Source organism: Homo sapiens, chromosome 11 (genome assembly GCF_000001405.40).
Source record: "Homo sapiens chromosome 11, GRCh38.p14 Primary Assembly".
Classification (NCBI taxonomy): Eukaryota; Metazoa; Chordata; class Mammalia; order Primates; family Hominidae; genus Homo; species Homo sapiens.
In genome coordinates, this window is record NC_000011.10 from 44,738,087 (window position 1) to 44,764,592 (window position 26,506).

At 47.1% G+C, this 26,506-nt stretch overlaps 1 protein-coding gene across 7 annotated transcripts in view, besides 5 other annotated features; it reads left to right on the forward strand.

Moving 5' to 3' along the window:
• The window catches only part of TSPAN18 (tetraspanin 18), a 206,114-nt gene that overhangs the window by 11,777 nt on the left and 167,831 nt on the right, over positions 1–26,506 (forward strand). For all 7 annotated transcript variants that reach the window (XM_047427847.1, XM_011520459.4, XM_047427846.1 and 4 more), the window contains exon 2: positions 26,340–26,426. The gene's annotated coding sequence lies outside the window, so the exon portion shown is untranslated. The remainder of the gene's footprint in view (positions 1–26,339; positions 26,427–26,506) is intronic.
• Positions 4,001–4,696: an enhancer, noted in NCBI's record as "H3K27ac-H3K4me1 hESC enhancer chr11:44763637-44764332 (GRCh37/hg19 assembly coordinates)". NCBI's record gives its function as "activates a minimal SCP1, AML or CMV promoter by ChIP-STARR-seq in naive H9 embryonic stem cells {active_cell/tissue: H9 hESC(naive)}" and the evidence as "EXISTENCE:reporter gene assay evidence [ECO:0000049][PMID:30033119]".
• Positions 4,697–5,392: an enhancer, noted in NCBI's record as "H3K27ac-H3K4me1 hESC enhancer chr11:44764333-44765028 (GRCh37/hg19 assembly coordinates)". NCBI's record gives its function as "activates a minimal SCP1, AML or CMV promoter by ChIP-STARR-seq in naive H9 embryonic stem cells {active_cell/tissue: H9 hESC(naive)}" and the evidence as "EXISTENCE:reporter gene assay evidence [ECO:0000049][PMID:30033119]".
• Positions 11,293–11,794: an enhancer, noted in NCBI's record as "H3K4me1 hESC enhancer chr11:44770929-44771430 (GRCh37/hg19 assembly coordinates)". NCBI's record gives its function as "activates a minimal SCP1, AML or CMV promoter by ChIP-STARR-seq in naive H9 embryonic stem cells {active_cell/tissue: H9 hESC(naive)}" and the evidence as "EXISTENCE:reporter gene assay evidence [ECO:0000049][PMID:30033119]".
• Positions 14,808–15,616: an enhancer, noted in NCBI's record as "OCT4-NANOG-H3K27ac-H3K4me1 hESC enhancer chr11:44774444-44775252 (GRCh37/hg19 assembly coordinates)". NCBI's record gives its function as "activates a minimal SCP1, AML or CMV promoter by ChIP-STARR-seq in naive H9 embryonic stem cells {active_cell/tissue: H9 hESC(naive)}" and the evidence as "EXISTENCE:reporter gene assay evidence [ECO:0000049][PMID:30033119]".
• Positions 15,617–16,423: an enhancer, noted in NCBI's record as "OCT4-NANOG-H3K27ac-H3K4me1 hESC enhancer chr11:44775253-44776059 (GRCh37/hg19 assembly coordinates)". NCBI's record gives its function as "activates a minimal SCP1, AML or CMV promoter by ChIP-STARR-seq in primed H9 embryonic stem cells {active_cell/tissue: H9 hESC(primed)}" and the evidence as "EXISTENCE:reporter gene assay evidence [ECO:0000049][PMID:30033119]".

The window sequence follows — 26,506 nt, forward strand, 5'->3', positions numbered from 1 at the left end:
AGTGCCTGTCTGTTCTTCCTTGTATCCAAGGCACCTGGTAGGGTCTCAGAAGGTGCCTGAGAAATTCTCTTGCCTTCTCTCCATTTTCTCCTCTGCAAGCCAGTCTTTTTTAGGTTGTTCTGGTGGTTACTGGTAATCCTCCGTGTTCTTTGGCTTGTGGATGATCACAGCTAATATGTGTTGATTACTTGCAGGGTGCCAGGCCCTCACAAATCAGATCTCATCCACCAATAGAAGAGTTTTTTACAGTGGGAACGCTGGAGCCCACCTGGCTGGAGCCCCCCCGGCTGGAGCCCCAGCTTTATCACGTACCTGCTCTGCAGCCTTGGACAAGCTCCTCAACCTCTCTGTGCCTCATTTTCCCATCATAAAATGGGACTAAATATAACACATAACTTATGAGTTGTGAGGATTACATAAATTAATTCATGTAATATTTGTTTCTCCAGTTTTAGAGGCTGGAAGTCCATGACCATGGTGTTGGCAGGTTTGGTTTCTTCTGACGTCTCTCTCCTTGGCTTGCGGATGGCCACTTTCTCACCGTGTCCTCGCACAGCCTTTCCCTGGTGTCTCCCATGTGTCCAGAGCTCCTCTTCTAAGAATACCAGTCAGATTGGATTAGGACCCTTTAAGGCCTCATTATAACTTAATTGCCAAAACATTCACATTCCAAAGTGCTAGGGGTTAGGGCTTAAATATGAGTGTGCAGGAAGCACAATTTAGCCGGTAACATCTTCTAATTCAGTACTCTATCCCCATTTTATGGTTGAGAAAACCAGGGCACAGAGAGGTTAAGTTACTTGCCCAAGGTCACATAGCTGCTGAACAAGTATAGGAGTGTAAAACCCAGGTAGTCCGAACCTGGAGCCTGCACTCCACCGCCAGATGGTCTGTTTCCTGGCTCTTCTCCTCTGCAGATCCTCACAGTCTTCCCTTTTTGGAGCTGGTTTGTTTCTTAACAGCAGGGTTGGGAGGAAATCAGGATCCAGGGGTCTTGGTGACTTCTCTCCTGGCCCTTTGCTCCCGTCCAGCCTTGAATCCCTCGTTTGGTGGCAGCTGCCAAAACTACTAGGGGATGGGGACCTTTACTTCTGCACCTAGGCTGTGAGGGAGGTGGAGGCTGCAACAGGGTGGGAAGGTAGTCAAACATCCCAGGAAGTGAGGGGAGTTTCTTGATTCCAGGGTTTCCCTCCCTCCGTATCTTTTTTTTGGATTTTCCAGGAGTTAACTGCTCTTTGAAAATAATCACGTCTGGCTGGGTGCGGTGGCTCATGCCTGTTAATCCCAGCACTTTGGGAGGCTGAGGCGGGCAGATCACTTGAGGTTAGGAGCTCGAGACCATGCTGGTTAACACTGTGAAACCCTGTCTCTACTAAAAATAGAAAAAATTAGCCGAGTGTGGTGGCGGGTGCCTGTAATCCCAGCTACTCAGGAGGCTGAGGCAGGAGAATCACTTGAACCCGGGAGGCAGAGGTTGTAGTGAGCTGAAATTACGCCAATGCATTCCAGCCTGGGCCACAGAGCCAGGCGAGACTCCGTCTCAAAAAGAAAAGAAAGTAATCATGTCTTCCTGGTGAAAGACTTAGGAAAAAATAAAGAGTAACATAGCAAGAGAATATGGAAATAAAACAAAAGCATATTCAATGGAAGGTCACTCTCAATCTTACACCAGTCTCTGGGCCCAGAGACAGCCCTGGGCTGCTCCTATGGGTTTTTCCAGCCTGCCTTCAGGCCAAGAGTTTGAAGCTGGTGCTTGAGGTTGGAGGAACCGGAGGGAACAGCTATTCACCGAAGCCATGGAGGTTCTCCTGGGTGGACCATGGGACATGGGAGAGGCATGTCCTTTTGGGATGGGTGCCTGGCGTGCCACTGCATGGCCAGCCGTGATGCAGTCATTCCCGACTAGTGGAATGAGCTGCTTGTTTCATGCATGCCCCTTTCCTGATGTCCCACCAAATGGACAATCTGCAGAGACACCTATGGTAGGGTGGCTACCGGGTCAGTGGCTTATTCTCTTTGTCATGGTTGCCTGGCCCTCTCCGATCTCTGCCCGCCCCTTGCCTATCTCTGCTTTGTCCCCGCAAATGTCATCTTTTCCTTTTCATCTTGTGGGGTGCAGGGGCCTGGGCTAGGTAGGGTTTGGGAAAGAGCCCTTGGGACCCTTTGGGGAGGATGTGTGACCGGGAGACCCGTGGGTCAGGACAGAGGGCATCTCTACCTTCCTCCATTGTGTGATAAGGGTGTCGGTTGGCAGATCAAAGGGCTTTTTGTTGTTTTATTTTCCTTTCCAGAGCCTTCTTGCTGGGAAAGCAGGCTGTACAACCAAGGGGAACAGCTGCCACCTGTGTGTCCTGTGAGAGGGCAGGGCCAGCCAGGGGCATGGGGCACCTGGTGCTGCTGAGGGGCTGGGACTGGGCCACAGGTGGGAGATTTCCCTGGGGGACTCTGCACCTAGAAGCTGATGGGGACGTAGTGGCCGAGCTCAGAGGCTGTGGGCCCTCAGCAAGACAGGGACACCTGGAAATGCAGAGAATTAGCAAAGAATTGGGGGAGCTGCCCCCACAACCCCATCCTAGCCTGTGAATTTCTGTCTTCCATTGTTCCTCAAATGGAGTGATGGAGGGAGCACTGGACTGCGAGTCCGGAAAGCCTGATCTTTAAGTCCAGTCTTGGTTTGGTTCTAACAAACTCTCATGTTCCCTCTGGACTTCTGTTTTGAGATGGAGTCTCTCTCTGTCACCTAGGCTGGAGGGCAGGGTTGAGATCTTGGCTCACTGCAACTTCTGCCTTCCAGGTTCAAGCGATTCTCCTGTCCCAAGTAGCTGGGACTATAAACGTGCACCACCACACCCAGCTAATTTTTTTGTATTTTTAGTAGAGACGAGGTTTTGCCATCCCTGTGGATTTCTGATATCCCATCCGCATCACGGGAGTGGGGCTGCTTGTTCTCCTTTTAACTCCAGAGCCTCTGGGTCTCCCCTGAGAGTCTTGAACGGGGAACATGACCTCGGAGCCTTGTGTCCCCTGGAGAAAAGCTCTCAGGAAGCCGAGGCGTGGTTGTTGATGGAAATGGGGATGTTGTTTAAATAAATTAAGAGCCAAAGAGGACAATCCGTGGCATTCTTTTCAAGAGCTGGGATGATATGCATAACATTTCCTCCCTTTCATTTGATAATTTTTCCTTCTCAAAGCAGTTTAATGAAAGAAAAGTGTCTGAAGATTGGCTGCACAATGAGCTCAAATAAAAATATTCTTTTAAAAATGTGGTTGCTATGTAATCGAATTTAAATAATGGGCAATTTTTGTTTCTTCGTAGTCTAGCCACTCACAAAGGTCTATTCAAACCTGTCTCAGACATGTATGTGTGTGTGTGTGTGTGTGTGTGTGTGTAAAGAAAAATGACCTTACTGATAGAATATTTTTGGAAAAAAAAATAATGATGATGATAATGTAGCTAAAGTTGTGTGTGTGAGTTCGTGCGTGTCTGCTGGTGAGACATACGGGATTAACATGAAACGTGCTGCTAGAAGGAAGTTCTGAAGGCAGCTGTAGAGTCCTCCTGGCATTTGAATGGGTGCTGTGAGCAAGAGAGGTGAATTCTAGTTTTGGAGTCCCATGGATCTGGGTTCAAATCCTGGGTCGGTCCCTACCAGCCACATGACCTTTGGCAAGTTATTTATTCCCTCTGAACGTTAGTTTCCTCATCTAGAAAAAAGGGACAGCAAAAACAAGATCAAGTGCCTAGCCTGGTGCTGGGCATGGGAACGACCTGCCAGGTTGGCCCCTCCCCTCCCCTCTGCACCCTTCTCCTTCCTCTCCTCTCTCTGCTCTCTCCCCACTCCCTTCCCTTTTTTTCCTTTGCCTCTCCAGAAACAGCAGAGTTTTTCCATATACACACCAGACCCATATACGTTGTAGCTCATTCAATGCCCAGCAATCCAACCGGAGTGGGATTTTTATCTCCATTTTACAGAATGGAAACCTGCTGCAGCTATGGAATCGGGTAGATCACCCAGCAGGTGGAGGGGGTATGAGAAAGTGGAAATATTTGTCTGAAGCATAGCAAGACCTGGCCTTTTCCGTTGTATGGAAATTTTTGCCTGGGAGGTATGTGGAATGCAGAAAGGGTCCTTGGTGTTGCTTCTTGTAGCCTGCCTCACCCCTCCCCTCCCCTTCCCTTCCCTTTTTCCCTTCCTTCTTTCTTCCCTCCCTCCCTCCCTCCCTTTTTTCCTTTCTTCCTTTCTTCCTTCCTTTCCTCCCTCCCTCCTTCCTTCCTTACCTCTTTCCCTCCCCCATTTTTTCTTTTCTTCGTTCCTTCCCTCCCTTCCTTCCTCCCTCCCTTGCATTGTGTGCACTAGACTTTTGCCGAAGGTTTGAAGCTGAGGGTCATCCATCCAGAAGGTAGTGGCATAGTCATCCAGCCCAGCAGTGCACAGTGGACTGGTCTGTCTTAGAACCTGCTCGGCCATACCCGCCATAGGAGCTCTCCCAGGTCCCTGACTCAGACTCCTCTTGTTCACTTCTCGTGTCTCAAGCTTCTTCCTTGTCTCGGGCCTGCTCTGTCCCTCTCTCAGAGGCCAGTTGAGGACACAGAGTGTTTCTGCTCCCCTGTTCTCGCTTGGAGGAGCCCCTGCCCCCAGCGTGCTGACTCAGGCTTGGTACCGCTAATGCAAAGAGAGCAAGAGGGTGGGAGGAGATGGCCTCTCCAGCACCCGACTCCTCATCCTTTCCTGCCATCCACTCTCCCATTGACAGAGACCCTTTCTTATGGGCCCTGGCTGGGGCCTTGGCTGAGGACATGGATGGACCCACCAGGCCAGGGCCTCCTTGTCTTGGATCTGCAGAGGGACAGCTTCATGGGGGGGCTGGCATCTGCTCTCATACTCCTGGATGCTGCCTGATTCCCCAGGGCTGAATTATGCATCAATACATGGAGGCTTCTTAGGAAATATCCTTCTAAGAGTCCTCCCCTGGGGACCGGCAGACCATCTTCCTGAGTCACCTCTGCCTGCCTGCCTCTCCTGTTGGTTAGGGGAAGCTGTCAACAAAAGCAGCACTTCCCCCTAAAAATGCAGTAGCCGGTGATGCATCTGGGCACATACGAATGCACTCAGATGGGTTCTGTCAGGCCCTGAACTTGGTGATGGCCTTAAGCCATCACCAAGGTTTGCGTCAGGAAAAGTGTGACATTAAAGGCAGAGCATGACAATGTCTTTGGGGTGAAGAGCAGCAGGATCAGACCAAGTGCTTCTGCCAGTTCAGTGGGCAATGGAAAGAGCCGTGGGGTGCAGTGGTTAGAGCCGAGGCCTAGGCTTAGGACATCATGGATGCATTCCAGCCCTGTCTCTCTCTGGTTTGTGTGACCTTGGGCTGATTACGTCTTGGGGCATCCTTGTCCTTCCATGTGACATGGGACAACAGCAGGCAAGTGATTGGGGAGAAGCCGAGAATGGCGCTGGTGGGGCTTCTGCAGGAACAGCCGAGTCCTCGGAAGTTTGAGGCCTCGTGGGAAGATGTGTGCTCCGAGCTAGGAAATCTCCAGCTTTCAAGTTGCCCTTGGGCATTTCCCGCCACCCCTGTTCTGCCACCTCTGAGAGCAACACGCAGACTCCCAAGGCTTGCAGCCCTTTCGGGAGTTTCTGTGTTGCTGGAGTCCTGCCTTACTTCCTGGTTGTGGATGGGCATGCCAGGTGCCTTCCTTGGGCCCAGAGCTCCATAGAAGGAAAAGACTTCAGAGATGAAGATAAAACTGATCCTGATGGAGGAAATGGCGTTGTAACACCATCCGAGTACCCGGTTTGGGGTACATTTTGCTGAAAATGCCCTCAGAAAGGCAGATTTGCAGCTGTTAGGGAATTTTTAGATATTTTATTTTAGTTATTTTTGTTTTTTAATTTCCAGTATGAGTGAGGGGAAAAGAGCAAGAAGGAGCCATCTGGCCTGGTTGAGGGGAGAAAATGAGATTGCTTGGTTTTCATTTGCAGCAAAATGCACTGTGAGTTTTTCTGCAAATGTTAATAAAGACAGAAAGCAGTGAGACAACAGAGGCCTCCTGGGCTGCTGCTGGAAACACCTCCACAGTGGGGCCTCCTCCCTGGGTTTGCGTGTATTATCGCTTCGGAAAAGGCCAATTTTCAGGGATGTCAGATCACCAATCTCAGTTGCTTTCGAGAAAACCTCTTTCTTCTAGCCCAGAGATCAACAGGGGAACATCTGCTCTGGACTGCAGTCTTGTCTCAGCCTGGGCTCTGTCTCCACTGTTTACTGCTTAGCTGGAAAGAAGTGAAACAGATGTGATTGGTTTCAGATGAATGAGGTTACCGTCATGTTTCTGGCCTTCCCAGTGGTTCCTAATTGGTTGCAAGAAACTCCATGGAGTGGGGAGAGAGAGCTCTGGCTTAGAAATGGGGGGGTAGCTTCAAGTTCTAGCTTTGACCAGGACTCATCATGTGACCTTAGACAAGGCAGTACCCCTCTCCGGGCCTGTTTGCCATCTATAAAAACCAGGGCAAAAAACCCAAACCTAATGCACAAACAGAAACAAGCCAGGGTTGGGATAAATTATCTTCACAGCTAGCTTTGCAGGGTTGGTGTGGGAAATAGAATCAAATAAGCCGAAGAATGGGGTCAGGAGTGGATTTGGTTCTTTCCCTGCTTCTCTTATAGTCACCCTGGGTATGAGAAGGCTGGGCTGCTTAAGAAAGTAGCAAGGACTTCCAAAGAGCAGGGGTAGCATGGTGTGGTAGTACCTGGATGGCAGACACTTTTCATCGCAAATGCCAACGCTGATCGATTTGTAGGGCCTGCCTGAGTGCAGCTGAAGGGTGGATGAGCCTGTTTTACCCAGGCTCAGCAGGAAGGAGTGCCAAGATCAATTATTGACGTCTGTCATGGTTGGAGGAGGGTGGAATGCTAGCAAAGAATAGATGGGGAATAGATGTGGGGAACTTTGGGGTGCTGGGTATAGAGCATAGGGACTGGGGCACTTGAATGCCCTGTCACTGGCTTTGTTGCTATATGACCTAAGGTGAGGGTCCAATATGGGGCTGGATTTCAAAATAATCATAAAATAATCATGCGTGGGCATCTTTCTTCTTCAGGAAGTCTGGTTGGTACTGTACAGTTGAGCTAGTGCATTGCTGAGCATGTGTATTTTGAAGAGGCCATTCAAGTGATTTTAATATAATTTCATCCTGGTGGAGAAACAGTAAGTATAACCACTGACAACCTATTCAGGCTCCAATTCACTCATCAGTAGAGAGTAGGGTTTTCCTCACTGCACAGCACTGGAGCCCTGAGGCTCTAATGAGCTCACAGAGAAGATGGTCTGACCAGTGGCTAAAATAAATGAAGTGAACAGGCCAAGGATACAAAATGATGGCATGTATGATTCTACTTATATAAAGTTCAAAGTCAGCAAGAGAATCTAAGGGAGTCAAAGTCACAACAGTGATGACCTTTGGGCATGAGTTGGGGGGTGTCCAGAAGGGGCACGAGGTACTTCTGGGTGCTGGTGTGTTCATCTTCTCATCCTGGCTGGTGGGAACATAGGTATGCTCAGTTTGTGAATATTCATTGAGCAGTACACTTCAGATCTGTGTACTGTTCCCTCTCTGTTATACTTCAACGAAAAAAATTCTATTAAAAAACAAAAAACATGGCTGGGCGCGGTGGCTCACGCCTGTAATCCCAGCACTTTGGGAGGCCGAGGCGGGTGGATCACGAGGTCAGGAGATCGAGACCCTCCTGGCTAACACGGTGAAACCCCGTCTCTACTAAAAATACAAAAAATTAGCCGGGCGTGGTTGCAGGCGCCTGTAGTCCCAGCTACTTGGGAGGCTGAGGCAGGAGAATGGCCTGAACCCGGGAGGCAGAGCTTGCAGTGAGCCCAGATCGTGCCACTGCACTCCAGCCTGGGCGACAGAGCGAGAGTCCATCTCAAAAACAAAGAACAAAAAACAGCAAAGCTGATTCTAATCAGTTGAAAAAGTGAGAGAAGGTGCATAAAACTCCAGATTTCTGGTTTCCTTGACACATGGCATGGTCTGGTGGCAAATATGGGCTGGGGATAAGCAGCAGCTGCCCCCCGTGGGTGGGGCACGTTGCTCTCTTCTGTTTTGGTTCAGAGTTCCTGTTGGGGTTTGAGTATGAGACCCAAGACAAATGCTTCTCTCTGGGACTCCCAGCCTCTGTCAGGGAGTCTTTGCAGATGAGTGTTGGGTGAGTTAGAAGGGAACAGACGTCTCCTGGTCATGCTGGGGTTCAATCCTGACTCCACCTAAATTTACTATCTTGGTGATTTGGGGTGAGTTATTCAGCTTCTCTGAGCCTCAATTTACCCACTTGTAAAGCAAGGAGTGTAGTACCCACACCAAAATATTGTTTTGCCAAGAAGCAGTAGCTCATGCCTGTAATCCTAACACTTTGAGAGGTGAGGCAGAAGGATTGTTTGAGGCCAGGAGTTCAAGAGCAGCCTGGACAACATCGGGGGCCCTCTCTACAAAAAATAAAAAAATAAAAATTAGCTGCAGATGGTGGTGCATGCCTGTAGTCCCAGCTACTTGGGAGGCTGAGGCGAGAGGATTGCTTGAGCCGAGGAGTTAGAAGCTGCAGTGAGCTATGATTGTACTACTGCACTCCAGCCTGGGCAACAGAATGAGACCCTCTCTCAAAAAATAATTATTTTGGGGTTAGGACAAGATTATGATTAGAAAATACACGGTGTGCCTGGGCAGCAGAGATGCTCAGCAGAGCTTCATTTGCCCACTTCCCCCACTGCTTGCCTGGTGCTACCCCTTGTGCCTATCAGGAAGGGAGACTCAGTTCTTAGGGAGTAGTCGCCTGGACCCAGCCTTCCCATTGCTCATGTCAGGGTGAGATGTGGGAAACCCATTCTTGGGGCCCTGGCGGTTCCCTCCTCGCTGGCCCAGCCCTGTGTCCCCAGCCAGCTGGCATTGAAAAACGGGGCCTTTCTCTGACTGGTCAGGGCTAGAGGCCCAGGCGAGGTGGTGGCTGCAGCTCCCAGCAGCTAATTCTGCTGGTCACAGCGCCAGGCCCTCTCACAGGCGAGCATCTGCTTTGCCTTGTGGGGCAGCTGGCACCTAGGAACATGCCAGCTCCCTGGCATCTTTTCTCCATCCTGCCTGCAGCAGCCAGGAGCAGCCCTGCCTAAAAGAGGCAGCTCTCTGGGGCACAGAACTTCAGCAAGGAGCTCGTTGCTTGGATCTCAGCTGCCTTCTCGACTTTTTATTTAATCCCAGATATCCCTTGGGCAGGGAGATGTGGGGACCAAGGGACTTCCCTCCTCTAAGACTCAGTAGGCTTATCTGGAAAATGGGCGTGAATCATAGAGGCCTCTTAGGGCTGCTATGAGGAGGGACTGTTTGTACTGAGCCTGGTTTGTACTGAGCTGCTCAGGAATCTTAAATATGATCGTGAATATGACGGTTGCCATTACGACTGGTTATGAGGCAGCATCAGGGGAAGCCATTTGGGTCGACTTTGGTATAAAGGATGTGGTTTGAAATTGCCTGTGTCTCAGAACAATCTGTTTTGATTTATTCTACTGTGGGAATTTGAAAATGGCCCAAATGTTTCTCCTCCCCCCTCCCGTCTCTCTCTCAGCACTCAGATTTCCTCACTCCTGCACTCATCTCCTCATGCACACTCACACGCTACCTTCACACTTGCTCACTCTCATCTTTCCACACTCAAAGTGCAGGTGGAACTTCCAGTGGCCCAAATACTTTTCCTTCTACCTCAAAGGCTCACACTGTTTCCACTACACACACACACAAACACGTATGTGTGGTCATTCTCACACTCAAACTTCTCTCCCTGTCTCTCATCCCCCCAGTTCCCTCCCTCACCTGCAGCAGAGCTGCAGGGTCAGAAGACTTCGGTTCTCTCTCTGTCTCTTACTAGCCAGCTCTGTGGCTGTGTGATATGGGCCGAGTCACTCAGCCTCTCTGGGCCCTGGTTTCCTTTCTCTCAAAAGAGACAAACCACTGGTTTATGTTTAGAGAGATCATCATTTTCTGGCCGGGCATGGTGGCTCACACCTGTAATCTCAGCACTTTGAGAGGCCAAGGCAGACAGATCACTTGAGGCCAGGAGTTCGAAGCCAGCCTGGCCAACATGGTGAAACACCATCTTTACTAAAAATACAGAAATTAGCTGGGCACGCCTGTAATCCCAGCTACTTGGGAGGCTGAGGCACAAGAATTTCCTGAACCCCAGAGGCGGCGGTTGCAATGAGTTGAGATTGCACCACTGCACTCCAGCCTGGGTGACAGAGTGAGACCCTTTCTCAAAAGAAAAAAAAAAAAAAGAGACCATCACTTTCTTCCACAGTATTTCAGATGATCTGAGATAAGATTCTTACTACATCTTAAATTCCATGACTCTGCCAGTGAGTGGACTGGATCTCATTAGGCAGACCGTGTGCCAACCTGGAATTATATCAGTATTTTAGCCTTTTCCTGGTACTGAGGAGACATTGCTTGATTTCAAGCTAGAAATTAACACAAGTCAGGAGAAAATGGAAAGTTCAAGATCGTGATTTACTCTTCACTTTAGAGAAGCCACAGTGTCATAGCACCGCACTTTTATTCTTCTCATTTCCTCCTCATGCACCAGCAGAGATGACTTAGGGAAACAGAGGCAGCGGTCAAGTTGCCACTGTGAATGGGGGAGGGGCGGCGGAAATCAAGACAAAGATTTTGCGTTTCCTGCACCACATCCACCAGAAGGATCCACTTCCTTTTGGTGTGTATCCCTCCTCCCACCCACTTCCAGGGACAGAGAGCTAGAATGTATTGAGAGCGTACCACATTGTGTGTACCGCCCTGTTGAATCCTTGCAACAACCCTACAGGTTAAGTGTGGATCCATTCCCATTTTTGGGATGATAAGACTGGTGCATGGTGAGGCTAGGTAAGTACCTGGCCCAGCATCATACTGCATGTCTGGCAGAGCTGGATCTGCACCTGGGTGCTCTGGTTCTTGAGCTAAGCTTTTGACCACCACACCCTGCAGTCTTGAGTGGCCCTATGTCAAGGTGGAGTGGAAAGACACAGGATTTCAAGATGAAAGGCTTGAGTTTTAATCTTGCTCTGCTATTAATTTATTATGAGCCTTGAGCGAGTCTCTTATCCTCTGATGCTCAGGTTCCCCATTTGCGAAATGGAGAGAAAACTAAAACCTGTTGCTCAAGATTGCTGGGAGGCATGAGGGAGGTAAACTGCCTGGGACAATGTGAGTGCTTCCATATGTCAGCTCTTTTTGTGGTTTTCTGATTTGCCTTGGCAAACTTTTTTGCTAGGCATGTGGGCTTGCTACCTGGCATACAGGGCCCCACCCTGGAGTTAGAAGGATTCATTCCCAAGTGACATTGCACAAGGGTCATCATGATGCCTTTGTATAAATCCCATTTGGCCACCAGAGTGTCTTGGGGATTGCACTTCAAGCACTAAAGTGGAATGAATGAAGGATGATTTACTGCAGTGGTATTCAACTTTACTTGTAGCCACAGAACGTGGAACTTTCTTTTTTTTTTTTTTTTTTTTTTGAGTTGGAGTCTCACTCTGTTGCCCAGGCTGGAGTGCAGTGGCGCGATCTCGGCTCACTGCAAACTCTGCCTCCCGGGTTCACACCATTCTCCTGCCTCAGCCTCCTGAGTAGCTGGGACTACAGGTGCCCGCTACCATGCCCGGCTAATTTTTTGTATTTTTAGTAGAGACGGGGTTTCACCGTGTTAGCCAGGGTGGCCTCCATCTCCTGACCTCGTGATCCACCCGCCTTGGCCTCCCAAAGTGCTGGGATTACAGGCGTGAGCCACTGCACCCGGCTCCATGTGGAACTTTCAAATGTGAAATTGCTCAAAATGGAGCTGCCCTGTTGAAGCAGGCATGGGGGCTGCTCCACCCTCCCCAACTCACCTCCTCACTTTGATATCTCCTAGGGAATCCTTGGGGAACCCATTTTGAAAACCACAGGCCATCAGGGGACAGATGATGAAATTGAGACCCAGAAAGGGGCAGTAACTCACCCAGGAACCTGAAGCAGGCACTCAGTTAGAATTATTTTCATTAGCAGCATCGTTTTCCTTTTTTATAAGAGGGCTTTCCTGTGTTTCTTTTGGCCATCGATCTTAATTAATCACCTAGAGATATGTCTTTCAATATTGACACTTACTTAGCAGCTGACATTTCTGAATTATTCCCTCTCCTGCCTTCCTCATAGCCATAGATAAAGGCTGGATGGATATTTATTGTTAAAGCAAGGAAAATGGGGCTTTTTATTTGGAAGCTTTTGAAACACTGTATTTACCCAAATAATCCTGCCTGAGTCTGCAGGTGTTTGGAGACCCAGGAAAATGTATTTGACAAAATAAATGAATAAAAATTGTGACCAGAGTGAATCCCCACATGAGGCGGTATGTAGGGGATCTTAAGAGTCCTATTTGAATGCAACATCTCCCTCCACTTCCCACATCCCCCCTTTTGCAGCCCCCACATCAATTTGGTGTTCTAGACCACGTGGTCTTCCTCCTTCAAAACCTAATTTCCACATGGATTTAGCCAGCAGTGACCAGCTACATGAAGAGCTTTAGTGAGAATCAATAGGCGAGATCCCTGGAGTGGGCTCTATGCCAGCTGCATGTGAAACATCCCAGCTAGGATGAGGAGCAGCGAAAGAAAGATGGATGCTTGCAAGACATCTGGGACATTGGATGTTTAAGGGCAAGGTGAAGTGACTCAGAGAGGCTTGGTGACTTGCCCAAGGTCACACAGTGACTTACAGGCAGTGCCCTCATCCTCTAGGGTTCCTAGGCTGGGGCCCTTTCCAACACACTGAACCATTTCTTTGCTGAAAGCAGGCTGCCCTTTGCTTTATTATGGAGGTAATAAACCAATTCTTTAGTGTGGCCAAAGAGAGAGAGGGAGTGAGCTGTTAATTAGAGGATGACTTTTAGGGCACGTAAATGGGCAATACTATCAGAGCAGGTAGAGATCACCCAAGGTGTGTCCGGCTGTCCCTGAGTGATGGGAGGTTCAGGAACAGAGAAGACCTGGTGCCTGCCAGCAAGTGTGGAAGAAACACATGTGAATTCAATTCAAGGCTGGCGAGGCTCGTGCTTGGCTCCCTGCACACTTTGTGTTCTGGGAGTGGGTGGAGAACACAGTCTTCTCCAAGCCTGACCCTGGCAGCCTGGCAGATTTCATTTCTTCCTTTTCTACTTGGGAGACAGACAGGCTCCAGGGCCAGGCTGCCTGGGGTTCAGATGCTGGCTCTTACTGCATGAATCTGTGATCTTTGGCTAACTGCTTGTGCTTGTAGAATGGGGATAGTAACAGTACCTTTCTCACAGTGTGGTGGTGAGGTCCTAATGTGACAATCCACAGCATACATGCTTAGGAAGTGCCTGATGGAGTCAGCAGGCAGTTTGCATTACCTGTTACTTTAGGGCATCTTAGAAGGGAGTGCGATTGTTTCTGCGTTTAAATAATAATGTTTATCACTTTCTCTGATTATAAAAGTCACATATAAGGCTGGTGCAGTGGCTCACACCTGTAATCCCAGCACTTTGGGAGGCCAAGGTGGGTCAGGAGTTGAGGTCACTTGAGGTCAGGAGTTCAAGACCAGCCTGGCCAACGTGGTAAAGCCCCATCTCTACTAAAAATACAAAAATTATTTGGACATGATGGCAGGTGCCTGTAATCCCAGCTACTCAGGAAGCTGAGGCAGGAGAATCCCTTGAACCTGGGAGGCGGAGGTTTCAATGAGTCAAGATCACACCACCGCACTCCAGCCTGGGTGACAGAGCAGGACTCCATCTCAAAAAAAAAAAAAAGAAGTCATATATATCTCAGCTACCTAAAGCTAATATTTTGCGTATGTTTCTTCCCAGTTTTTTCCCTGTGTGTTGTGTATGTTTGCATGTTGTTAAGTAAAATATATGAGAAGCCAGTGTTTTGGACTGAACTCTAGCACTAGGCCCCAACACACCAACCCAAAATGGAGTCATTCAAGCTGAAGTGTCACATTATCAAACTAAAACCTAAATTGTTTACTTGTAAGATCTGACCTTCCAGGAAATCAGGAGGAAGATGATAGCTAAATCTCCAAAACAGGCTAGTTTTAGCTGATGTGATGAAGTCCTCTCTGTTTTAACCGATACAAGGAAAGTGACTTTAAATGACCAATCCACATTTTGTTCTTTGTTTCTGCCTTCTTTAGCCTTTTCCTGTCTATAAAGCCCATCCCTTCTATTCAGCTCAGCAGAACAACTTTCTTTCTTTCTTTTTTTTTTGACACAGGGTCTCACTCTGTTGCCCAGGCTGAAGCGCAGTGACTCTATCTTGGCAACAGAGCACCTTTCTGTTTTGTAGATGGGATGCTGCCCAATTCATGAATCACAATAAAAACAAATGAGATCTTTACAACTCAATTTGTTGAAATTTCATTTCTTTGACAGTTTGTGTGTGTGTGTGTGTGCACGTGCACATGTATGCATACATATATCTCTATATAAATGAGTATGTATTGTCAGTATAATTTAAACAATAAAGCCATGATTCTCATAAATCTAGAATGAACATGAGTCAAAGATTGATTTAATGAGGAGGCCAGCAAGATGGAAAAGCTAGCTCTCAGGAGAATTCAAGGAACAGTGATTATGTAGGCATTGGAGAAAGAATGCCTGAATATGATGGCTGGATTGGATATAAAACTGGTTAATGCCCTATAAGGCAGAAAACCATAACCTTGGGGTTTATCTGTTTTACTAGCCAAAAAAATCTACAAGTTCATGTGTAACTTTATACAAAGTTACATTCCTCTAGAATCCCCTGGGTAATTACAGGATTCTTGGGTAGGCTTGCTAAACAGTACTCCAATATGAGGTTGAAATGACACAGACCTCTCTTTGCCTTTTGCCACATTACAGATGACTTTTCTTAACAGTATCCATATATTCTTTTTGATCACATGCTAGAAAACACTGCGGACCTCACCTTTCTCACTTGATATTATAGCGCATCCATTTTCTTTTCTTTTTGAGACAGAGTCTTACTCTATCACTCAGGCTGGAGTGCAGTGGTGCCATCTCGGCTCACTGCAACCTCCGACTCCCTGGTTCAAGCGATTCTCCTGCCTCAACCTCCCGAGTAGCTGGGATTACAGGCATGCACCACCACCACACCCAGCTAATTTTTGTATTTTTAGTAGAGACAGGGTTTCACCATGTTGGCCAGGATGGTCTTGATCTCCTGACCTCACGATCCGCCCGCCTCAGCCTCCCAAAGTGCTGGGATTACAGGCGTTTGAGCCACCGCACTCAGCCAGCGCATCCATTTTCAAAAGAAAGTTTTGATCTGCTCATAAACCCAGCTTGACTCACCCTCTGTGGGTGCCCCCAGCATCTTCCTGGGGGTCCCAGGGTAGCTGGACTCGCCGCTGCCACCCTCACATTTTATTGTAATCTCCAATTTCCCTGTCTCTTTCTCCATTCGAACTGAGTTTTTTGAGATCATGGATTTGCTGAGCTGAACTGGCTTCCTGATCCCATCGTCCCAAGCATCTATTATGTGAGCACATAGTGATCGACTTCAGTGTGGCTTGCTGAGTGAATACACATGGATTTTAAGAAGCCTGGCTTTCGTCAGTTACAAAAGGATGAGCTGTGCTGTTAGGGATCGGCAGGGACTCCTCTTCTGGAGTATTTGAGTCAAAGCAGCTCCCACCTCTCATGCAGGGTGACAGCCTATCCACTACTCCCATCTCTAATTCTGCCATTTAATTGTATTTGGACGCAACACACTTAGTCTAGAAAACCAGTCATGCGTCTTTTCACTAGGACTCCCTTGACCGAGCTCTCTGGTTTTCTAACTTTCTTTGCTAATCAAGGTCTTAAAGGGGTAAAAAGTTCTTGGCCTCCTAAAGCTTAGGAGGGACAAGTGTGACTTGAAGGATTAATCTCCACGCTATGAATTTTAAAGCTCTCTGGTTCCATGTGCTGGGAAAAGCCATCAAAATGCTAATGACTCTGTGGTCTTGCCTCCTGCGGACCTTTTCTGCATTAGAATATATTTACATGGACTTGAGCAGGGAAGCATTACAAAGAGTTGGGGTGCAGTTTTCCCAGTATTCCGCTGCAGCCCTGTGGGTTATAAAGTCTGAATTAATAGCCCCAGTTGCGGCCTTCAGCTTCCTTGCTAGCTGCAGGGTGGCCAGTTTAGAAACATCTCTATTACTGGCGTGTGGCTTTTTAATACTGCTTCTCTCCGAGGCAGACTATCCTTGGGCATGCGTTCCTGTGTGTTTAATACTGCACATTGCATCCACGTGGAGTTCAGGGTCTGGAACATGTTGAGACACAATTCATACCAAAGCCAACTTCAGCACTGAGACAGTCTCTGTTCTTCTTGAACCATGTGCCAAAGCACTGGCTGTGCTTGTAACCTTTGAAAGCCTGGTATCTTTGCTCAAACAGCCCAATGACCCAAGATGTAAGATCTCAGATGTATCCTTGAGAGGATTAATACTATGGTGTTGGCCACACCTGGCCTCTAATGCAGGCTGGAGTTAATGAGTGCCGTGGCTTGGGCAGCTTTGGCTCTGTGACTGTGGTTAAGATGCCTGACTCCTCTGAGCTGTGCGGTGTAGGAGAAAGAAGAGTGCAGTTTAGATGAAAAGGGAGGTCCAGTGGATAGTCCTTGTCCTTACCTCCTTGAAGTGATGAGAAAGTGCTTTCAGACAGCACAAAGAGGGAGCAGATGTGGGACAATGCCCACCGATGGCAAGAGGTTTTGGGCTGCCACAGGCTACACATGCTCTTTCCTACTCAGTTGACCAGTGCGGCTGTGTCTGTCTATGGCAGGTCCTACACAGGAGGGCACACAGAGACCCTGGCTGGCATGTGCTGTCTGCAGAAAAGCCCCAGACCAGATGGGAGGCGTGAGGGGAAATGATTCTTAACAGCAGTTGCATTGAGAATAAACAGTCTCAGGCAATCATTTATGGGGATTGGGACATTCCCTCCCTCCCTGGCCCTTCCACCCTCCTCATCCCACCAAGAGCTAATGGGCTCAGATCGGAAGGCCCATGCTTCTGGGTAGACCCTTGGGGCCCCTTGCTGGCAGTGCCCAGAGCCTGCTGCACTGTGTCAAGTACAGTAAGGAACAGCCTCCTCTTTCTGAGCAGGAATAGATCCCCATCTTTCTGAGGATGTCATGGTTTCACTTCAGCCCCACTGAGACCCTGAGGCACAATTAACCAGGCTGATTGGGACTCATTCTGGGAACAAAGGGTGCTGGGCCCAGTGACAGGACGAGCAGGTGGGAAGCGCTTCCCTCCCCCAGCCAGACAAGTGCAGGTGGAGAGCCCGGCAGACACTGCAAGGTTCTCAGCGCTCAGGTGGCTTCATTAAGGGCTGCCCTGGGGTTTGCTGAGCTGGGGACGCAGCCCCAAGACATCCTGAGCATGCCTTGGCTCTCCTCCCTCTCCCCTGCCCCCACACCAACCCCCTATGTAGCTAATTTAAAACAAAGCAAAACAAAGCCCTGGCTTTGCTTTGGAGCCATAAATTGCAGAGCTTTTATCTGTCAACAAGCAATGCATCAGGCTGGCAGTGGCCCAGCCTGGATCCTGTGGCCTGGCATCGGCTTGGGAGACGAGGTCTGAGGCTGAGCTGGCATCCAGGGTCTCCCTGAGGACGCTGCTCCTTCTTGGGGCATAAGGCCAAATTCTTATGGCCTCGGGACTCAGAAGGGTGGCTATTTCTCCTAGGAGCCAGGAAGAGATGTAGGGTGACTAGGGTTGGGAGTACAGAGCCAGGGTGGGGAGAAGGGGAGACAGAGAGAGAAATGGAGAGAGAGGGAAAGAGAGATGGAGAGAGAGATGGAGGAGGGAAGAGGGAGATGGAGAGAGAGTTTGCCAACAGAAGCTAACCAGGGAAAGGCTTATCACTGGGTTGGTCAACTCTCTCTCTTCCTTTGTTCCTTGCTGCCTCTTCCAGGAAGTCTTCCTGGCTCTCTTCCTCCTCTGAAATCCGACTGACTTGGGATTCTAGGACAACAGGAGACTCTAAACCAGTGGTCTTCAATGTTATCTGGAAAGTTAATATATAAATTATTGTGAAGTCCAATTGTTGTGAATTAAGTGTGTTGTGTGTGTGTGGAGGGGTGTAGCCCCCATCTGTTCTTTGTGAGAACAAAAAGGAGGGAGGGAGGGAGGGAGGGAAGGGTTCCCAGGAGAATAACTTGGAATCATGAATCATAGCTACTCCCTTTTTTTCCCCATTTTTTTTTAGTTGTCATAAAATACAACATAAAATTTACCATCTCGGCCATTTTTAAGTACACAGTTCAGTTATTTTAAATACATTCATAATGTTGTGCAACCGTCCATGCCATCCATCTCCATAACTCTTTTTATTTTGTAAAATGGAAAATCTATATCCATTAAGCAATAATTCTTCCCATTTTCCTCTCCTCCCAGCCCCTGGTAACCTCCATTCTATTTCTGGTCTCTGTGATTTTAACTATTCTACATGTTTCATGTAAGTGGAATCATGCAGTATTTGTCTTTTGTGACTGGCTTTCTAAAATTTAGCATAGCATTTTCAAGGTTCATCTATGTTGCAGCGTGTCAGAATTTCCTTCTTTTTTAAGGTTCACTAATACTCCATTGTGTAGATAGACCACATTTTGCTTATCCATTCATCTGTTGATGGACACTTGAGTTATTTGCATGTTTTAGCTGTTGTGAATAATCCTACTCTGAATATGAGTGTACAAATATCTCTTTGAGACCCTACTTTCTTTTCCTACTGTCTTGTTCCTGATCTTAGAAGAAAAGCTTTTGGTCTTTCACCATTGACTACGATGTTTGCTGTTTGCTGTGGGTTTTTCATATATGACTTTTACAGTTTTGAGATAATTTTCTTGTATTTTTAGTTGAATGTTTTTATTATAAAAGGATGTTGAATTTGTCAAATGCTTTTTCTTTTGGGTATATACCTAGAAGTGGAATTGCTGGATCACATGGTAATTCTATTTTTAATTTTTTGAGGAACTGTCATACCGTTTTCTACAGTGGTTGTACCATTTTACATTCCCACCAACAGTGGGAACAGGGTTCAAGTTCCTTCACATCCTAGCCAACACTTGTTATTTTTTATTTTTTATTTTTTTTTATAGTAGCCATGCCAGTGGGTGTGAAGTTGTATCTCACTGCAGTTTTATTTATTTGTTTACACTTGATCTTAGCCAGAAAGCTGAGAAATGATTATTTATTTATTTATTTATTTATTTGAGACAGGGTCTCATTCTGTTGCCCAGGTTGGAGTGCAGTGGTGTGATCTTGGCTCACTGCAGCCTCTTTCTCTCATACTTAAGTGATCATCTTGCCTCAGCCACCCAAGGAACTGAGACTACAGGCATGTGCCACCATGCCCAGCTGACTTTTTGTATTTTTTGTAGAGACAGAGTTTTGCTATGTTGCCCAGGTGGGTCTTGGACTCTTGGGCTCAAGAGATCTGCCCATCTCTTCCTCCCAAAGTGCTAGGATTACAGGCAGTGTGAGCCACTGTGCCTGGCCTCATTGCAGGTTTTGATTTGCATTTCCTAATGTTTAGTGATGTTGAGCATATTTTCATATATTTATTGACCATTTGTATATCATCTTTGGAGAAATGTCTTTTAATCTTTTCTGCCCATTTTTTAATTGGGTTTTTTTGTTGTTGCTGAGTTTGAGTTTTCTATATTTTCTGGATATTAATTCTTTGTGAGATATATGATTTGCAAATATGTTCTCCCATTCCATGGGTTGCATTTTTGCTCTGTTTGTATTGTCTTTTGATGCACAAATTTAAATTTTTTTCATGAAGTCTGGTTTGTCTATTTTTCCTTTTGTTGTCTGGGCTTTTAGTGTCATATCCAAGAAATCATTACAAAATCCAATGTCAAATTGCTCTGGCTAGAACTTCTAATACTGTGTTGAATAGAAGTGGCAAATATGGGCATCCTTGTCTTGTTCTTGATCTTAGAAGAAAAGCTTTCAGTCTTTCACCATTGAATATGATGTCTGCTGTTTGCTATGGGTTTTTCATATATGACTTTTACTGTTTTGAGATAGTTTTCTTATATTTTTAGTTGAATGTTTTCATTATAAAAGGGTGTTGAATTTGTCAAATGCTTTATGCACCATTTGATATAATTGTGTGGGGGTATTTTCCTCTTCATTCTGTTGATGTGGAGTATTACCTTGATTTTTGTATGCTTAACCATCCTTGCATTCCAGAAATAAGTCCCACTTGGTCATGGTGTATAATCCTTTTAATATGCTGCCAAATTCGGGTTGCTAATATTTTGTTGGGGATTTTTGCATTAGTGCTCATAAGGGATATTGGTCTGTAGTTTTCTTTTCTTGTAAGTGTCTTTGTCTGGTTTTGGTATAAGAGTAATGCTTAGCTCAGTGCCCTTTTTACAGAAAGTAGCGGCAGATTATATTTTACAAAATTCCTGCTGCTTCTGTGTATCGAGTGTTTATGATAGGCTGGGTACTGTGGGAATCATTTGCAGTCTATTAGCTCATCCAATCCCTAGTTCAAGCCTGTGAGGTGGGACTATGGTTGTCCACACTTTGCAGGTGGATATCCTGAGGTTTGCTGGGATAGAGAATTTTCCTGATGTCACATTGGTAGCAAGAGGCAGAACTGAGATTTAAACTCAGGTTTGCGGGGGCACAAAAGCCTGGCTTCTTAACCACAGTGCTTTACATTGATTTCATGCTGGGGGCTCCTCATCTCCTACCGTGTTTCCTACCCCTGTTGAAGATAGGCAGCAGGCTATACTGGGGAATTAGTCCCTGTGCAAAGCCCATTCACAGGAACCATCCAAACAGTGCTATGCTGTTCAGTTATCCTGACCCTTTACCGATTTTATAGTTCCCCCAAAATGGCATCTTTGCAGGGCTTCCATCAGCAGCTGTCCTTCTGCTGTAAATCAGGCAGTTTGCCTATCCCATGCCTGTTCACAAGCTGGCTTATTGAACACAGTTGGCAAAGCAACTGCCCTGCATACTGGAGCTTGGCTTAGACACAGGAAAGCTTTGGTCTCCTTGTGGCACTGTTTAATTCTTCAGCACCTGGGTCAGCAAAGGCCAAGACAAGAGGCAGCTCTGACCATTCCTTCCCGAAGGCCTTACCTGTAGATCTATGGATACAACAAGTGGTACAGTGGGGTGAGCTAGGGGGTGATGGTGTTTGACGACGTGGTCTCTCCTCAGACCTACTGACTCTGGAAGACTAAAGCTAGGCTCTTCAGAGTCCTAAGAGTCTCAGTTTCTCAGGGTCTAGAGAAAATTATACAAGTAGTTGAGGGTCATTCATTCTCTCTCTCTTTCTCACCATTAACCTAGTTCTGCCTTCCCACATTCATTTAACTCATTGTTTTATAGATCCACTTGTCTTCCCTCTGTCCTTCTATTCATCCCTGTGTTCATCCATCTCTCCATCCACCCAGTCATTTTCCCATCCCTCAACCAATTATAGCCTAGTTCCTTCTTTCTACCATTCAAGTTCTTTTATAAATCCATTCACTACCCATCCATCCATTTCTCCTAGCAACTGTCTATCCATCCAGCTATTATTTGCAGAGTCAGGAACTGAGACTCAGAGGGAGTAAGATACCACCCATATCTTTGAGGAACTCATAGTCTGGTAGGTGGGAAAAATCACATGAGCAAAAAATATACTATTACCTATACACACAATTTGTGATGTGAGCCCGGAGAACAATGACTTATGCCTGTTGAGAGAGTGGGAAGGTTTCACAAAGGAGTTAACTGAAAGAAGGTTTTGAAGGATGATTAGGAGTTTGCCAAGTGAGGGGAGGGGTGAAACTCAGGGTTAGGAAAGGAAGAGAGGAATTCCAGGAAGAGCAAACATCAGGGAAGTTGGGCTGAGCACACTTTGAGTCCAGGTGAGTTCACTTTTACTGTGGGGTCTTTGCATATGGCAAAGACTTAAAGGTGGGCCTGGAAAGGAATTGGGGATCAGATGATAAAAGGCCTTGTGTCTAGACAAAGGGAGGCCAGGGAACCCACTAAAGCAGGAGACAGACACAGTGCTCTCCATTTATGGGCTCACTCTGACAATGAAGGAGAGGGCAGAGCGGGGAACAAAGGCTGCAGGCTGGCAGACCAGCCAGGAGCCGTGTGCAGCAAGCAGACAACAGTAAGGAGGGTGAGCCCAGCCAGGGACTGGCAGGTTCTATGAGGATGGAGAGTCAAGGCTGCTTTGGGACACATGAGGTGAATAGAATCAGTAGCTGGGAAATAGACAAGAGTCTTTGATCTGGGTTTTGGTTGCACAGGGATGCTCTGTTTGTGAAAATTCAGTGGGGTATATATTCATGGTGTGTGTGCTATTGTGTATGTATGTTATATTTCAATTAAAACAGTAACAGTAGAGTAGGAAACATCAGGAGACATATTAAAGTTTCTCATCTGGGCCTCATCCAGGACACTGAAGTGGGCTGACCAAATTTTTCTTGTAAATTGAGAGCTCCACCCCTAGTTTGGAAGAAAGAAGAGGAGGAAGAAGCTCTAACTTTTGAGCCAGGCCTTGCAAAATGGGTGAAATTGGCTTATACTCATCGTAGTTACTGCCACCTATTAAGCTCTGGTATTTTGCAGATTCTAAGGCACACTTTTTTTTAACATCTTAATGTCTCTAAAACCAGGATGCATTGTGCAAAAAGTGATATCATAGTTAATTTAATTAATTGGTAGTGTTTTCTGTTTCTTAGAAGTACTTAAAATTATGGTGTCATTATAATCCATGGAGACTTCCATTCAAGAGCCATGATATCGTGTGCCAGGCTCTCTGCTAAATCCTGCTACACATTTCTTATCGAATCTCACAACAGCCTGTGAGTCATCAGCTGTTGTTAGCCCTGTGTCATAGCTGAGGAGTCCAGGCATGACGTAGATAGGTCGCTTGCTCTGGGTCACAGCTAGTAAGAATTTGATTTAGGATTTCAACCTGTGCCACCCCAAACATTCGGGAGAACTGTGCACAGAGCAAGATCAAGTCTGGGGCTGGGAGGGTTGTCGGGACTTCCCAAAGCCCAAGACTAATCGGGTCAAGGGTGACCCCTGTCGCCTGCCCACCAGGCTTACACTCTGCCACTTGCACCCAGGACCCGTTCCTGCTCTTAGCCCTAAACCTTGGGATTCTTTTCTCCATCTCCCAGGACAGCTCTGGCTCTAACATCTGTAGTGACTCCCCTCCCCCGCAGAGAGGAGGGGACTGCAATGAGATCTCATGGGCAAGGGGGAAAACATTCTCAGCCCAGCTGGTTTCCCTCACACAATGCAGATTTGCTTAAATGGGAATTAGGATTAGTGCTGGGTTTTGCCTCTTCTGGCAGGCTGGTAATAAACTAATCTCCTCTGAGGCTGCAGGAAGGCAAAATTCCACCGAAGACGGGAGACAGCTTAAGGCTCTGGAGCGCAAAACCTGGAAAGTAATTTTGTTATTGACAGGCGCTGCCCACACCTCTTGACATGCAGCCCGCAGCTCCTTCCCGGCATGGCTGCAGCTTTTAATTCCGTTAATGTGTGACATTCACCCAGGCTGCGTGGCTGACAGGCACTCTTGACACTAATACGTGTTCCGTGCAGTCCCTGGAGCTCATAAAAGCTCATTATCAGTTCTGAGCCAATAAATGCAGTTCCTGGCTCAGGTAGGCCCGAGTTCCTCTGCGATGCTGCAGACAGTAGAGCAGGGACATCTGCGCCAGCCAAGTCCCACACGCCTCCCTTTGTCCAGGGCCCTTGGCTTACCAGGCCACTGGAATGTGCCTAGGAAAGCCATTCCATAGGCAGAACCCTGGGTTCAAGTTTACATCAAAGAAAAGGGGTTCCTTCTGCCCTGCACTGTGAGGTGACTCAATCCAGCATTTTGGGAAGGCAGTTTGTCAGCACTACCCAAAGGCGGGATGTGGCCAGCCTCTCCTCTGCCAACTTCTAAACTTCTGGGCTTTGGAATTGCATGAACATTTCTACACCAAGATGGGCACCCAAGGGGTCATTGCAGCAAGGCTATAGAGGCCAGAAATGGAAATATTCGACACAGCCATGGTGGGAAATAAACAAATGGTAAATAAATTATGGCCCACATGTACTACGGGATACTGTGCAGCTATGAAAAGGACTCAAGATCCATTTTGGACATGATATCATTGACAAATGATATTGCAGAATGTGTGTGGTAAGATCCCACTTTTGTAAAAAGTCACACTGCATGTGTGCTCACATAGGTACATGCTTACACACACATGCATACACGTATTTGATTAGGTAGAATAAAGTCTAGAGGGTCTCACTCCAGAGCGTTTGCAGTGGTTCTCTCTGTTAAACAGGATGGCTGGTAAGGAAGCACATGTACTTTTGTAGTTAAAAATGAAAAATTTATATATGTATAAATAACTTGCCCAAGGTCATACCTATATATACACATATGTGTGTGTGTGTGTGTGTGTTTGTGTGTGTGTGTTTATGGGTTTATAAATGTAACAAATTCCTCTGATTGTAGCCTTAGTCTGGTTCATGATGCATGAGGTCCCCCTGCGCTGACACTGCCTGGATGGACATTTGAGGCCCAGATAGCTAAATAAAATGAGGTCCCATCCTCCAGCCAATCCCTATTTTCCATCAGTTAATGGGAGTTCAGAGACTCCCTTGCATGCCTGAGCTGCCCTGATGCTGGGGTCTGTGGGGTAGACCTCGAACTCATCACCTTCCTGCTTACATCCCTCCCACTGTGAGGCGAACGTGATAACCACTACACTACGGAAACCAACATCCCTCCCACTGTGGAGATGGCACTAGCACCGGGCTTGACTTCCCACAGCCAAAGTTCTAGTCCCAGCTCAGACTCATTTCAGTGGTGTAACCTTGGGCAAGTTATTTAACTCCTCTGAGCTCACAGTCCTCATTCCTGAAGTGGTGACACTTTCTCCTGGGGTTGTAAGGGGCATCAGGTTGATCATCATTATCATTCGAGAGACCTGAAACTTGATCAGGGTTTCCACTGTGCAGCTAGTCTCTGAGGGCAGGAGGAGCCTGGGAGGGGAGAGATTGGGGAACTTCGCTTTCTCCCCTGTGCTCTGGAGGCTGTAAGTTTTGCTCTTATTTCTCAGCTGTGCATGTGACTGAGCCAATCTCTTGGGACTGGCCTGTCTCTGCTGGCAGGTATGTGGCCTGGACATGGTGAATTTGATCCTTCTCTGGTGACCTGGGGATGCTTCATCAAACTGACAGAAGGGAAGGGTTGGAGAGGCTGGACTTCTAACCCCACTGGCATTCTGGAACTGAATTCTTTTTTTACCACCGGAGACTTTCCTTACTATTACTTATCTCTTCATGGATAGCAGATCTTGAAAGTGTTGGGTCTGCCCAAAGAGCCTGTATTCATTAGGCAATGATTAATTCTTTTTCCTAGTTTCAAAATGACTCAGAAAGCCTTTTTTTCAGCCTGAGGAAACTGGAGTTCCCACACCAAGTTGATAATATTCTAGCTGGAAGCAAAGAAACACAGTGTGATGTTTTGATTAGCATGTTCAATGCCATCACATGGATATATAGGCTCCGGGCTGACTTGGGAAGATTGAAAATATGCCCCCATTCACAGGCTCTGGGGACGCTATCCTGGGAAGCTTTGTGGGGCTGGTGCTTAGTCCTGCCTTTCCAGCTGTATTAGTCCATTCTTGCACTGCTGTAAAGAAATACCTGAGACTGGGTAATTTATATATAAAAAAAGATTTAATTGGCTCACAGTTCTATAGGCTGTACAGGAAGCATGACAGCATCTGCTTCTGAAGAGGCCTCAGGAAACTTACAATCATGGTGGAAGGGGAAGCACGCATAGTGACAGATAGGGACAGGAGAAAGAGAGAGAGAGGGGAAGGTGCTACACACTTTTAAACAAGCAGATCTCACGGTATCTCACTCACTATCATGAGAACAGCACTGAGGGGACAGTGCTAACCCATTCATGAGAAACTATCTCCATCATCTAATCACCTCCCACCTGCCTGGATGGAGATCTGAGGCCCCATCTCCGACACTGGGAATTATGATTCAATTTGAGATTTGATGGGGACACATTCAAACCATATCACCAGTCATGGGTGCCCCGTCTGGCTTCTGTGCTTGCAGTAATGGAAGTGGGGAAAGGAGACCTTGGGGAGTGGGAGCCACATGTGGACTGAGGTGGTCCCCAAGGACTCCTGCCTTTTTGAAATGTGTTTCTCTCTCTTCTTTCTCTAGAGTGTATCCAGAAGCTACTGTCAGGAGGACACTGTAAGAGAACCTTGGCACCTCTGGGCCCAAAGGGAAAGACACCAGTGGAAAGAGGTATGATGTGGCAACATGGCAGGGTGGCATCTTCACTTACTCGAACAAGAGGGTCTACTCTTCTCTCTTCTTCTCTTCCT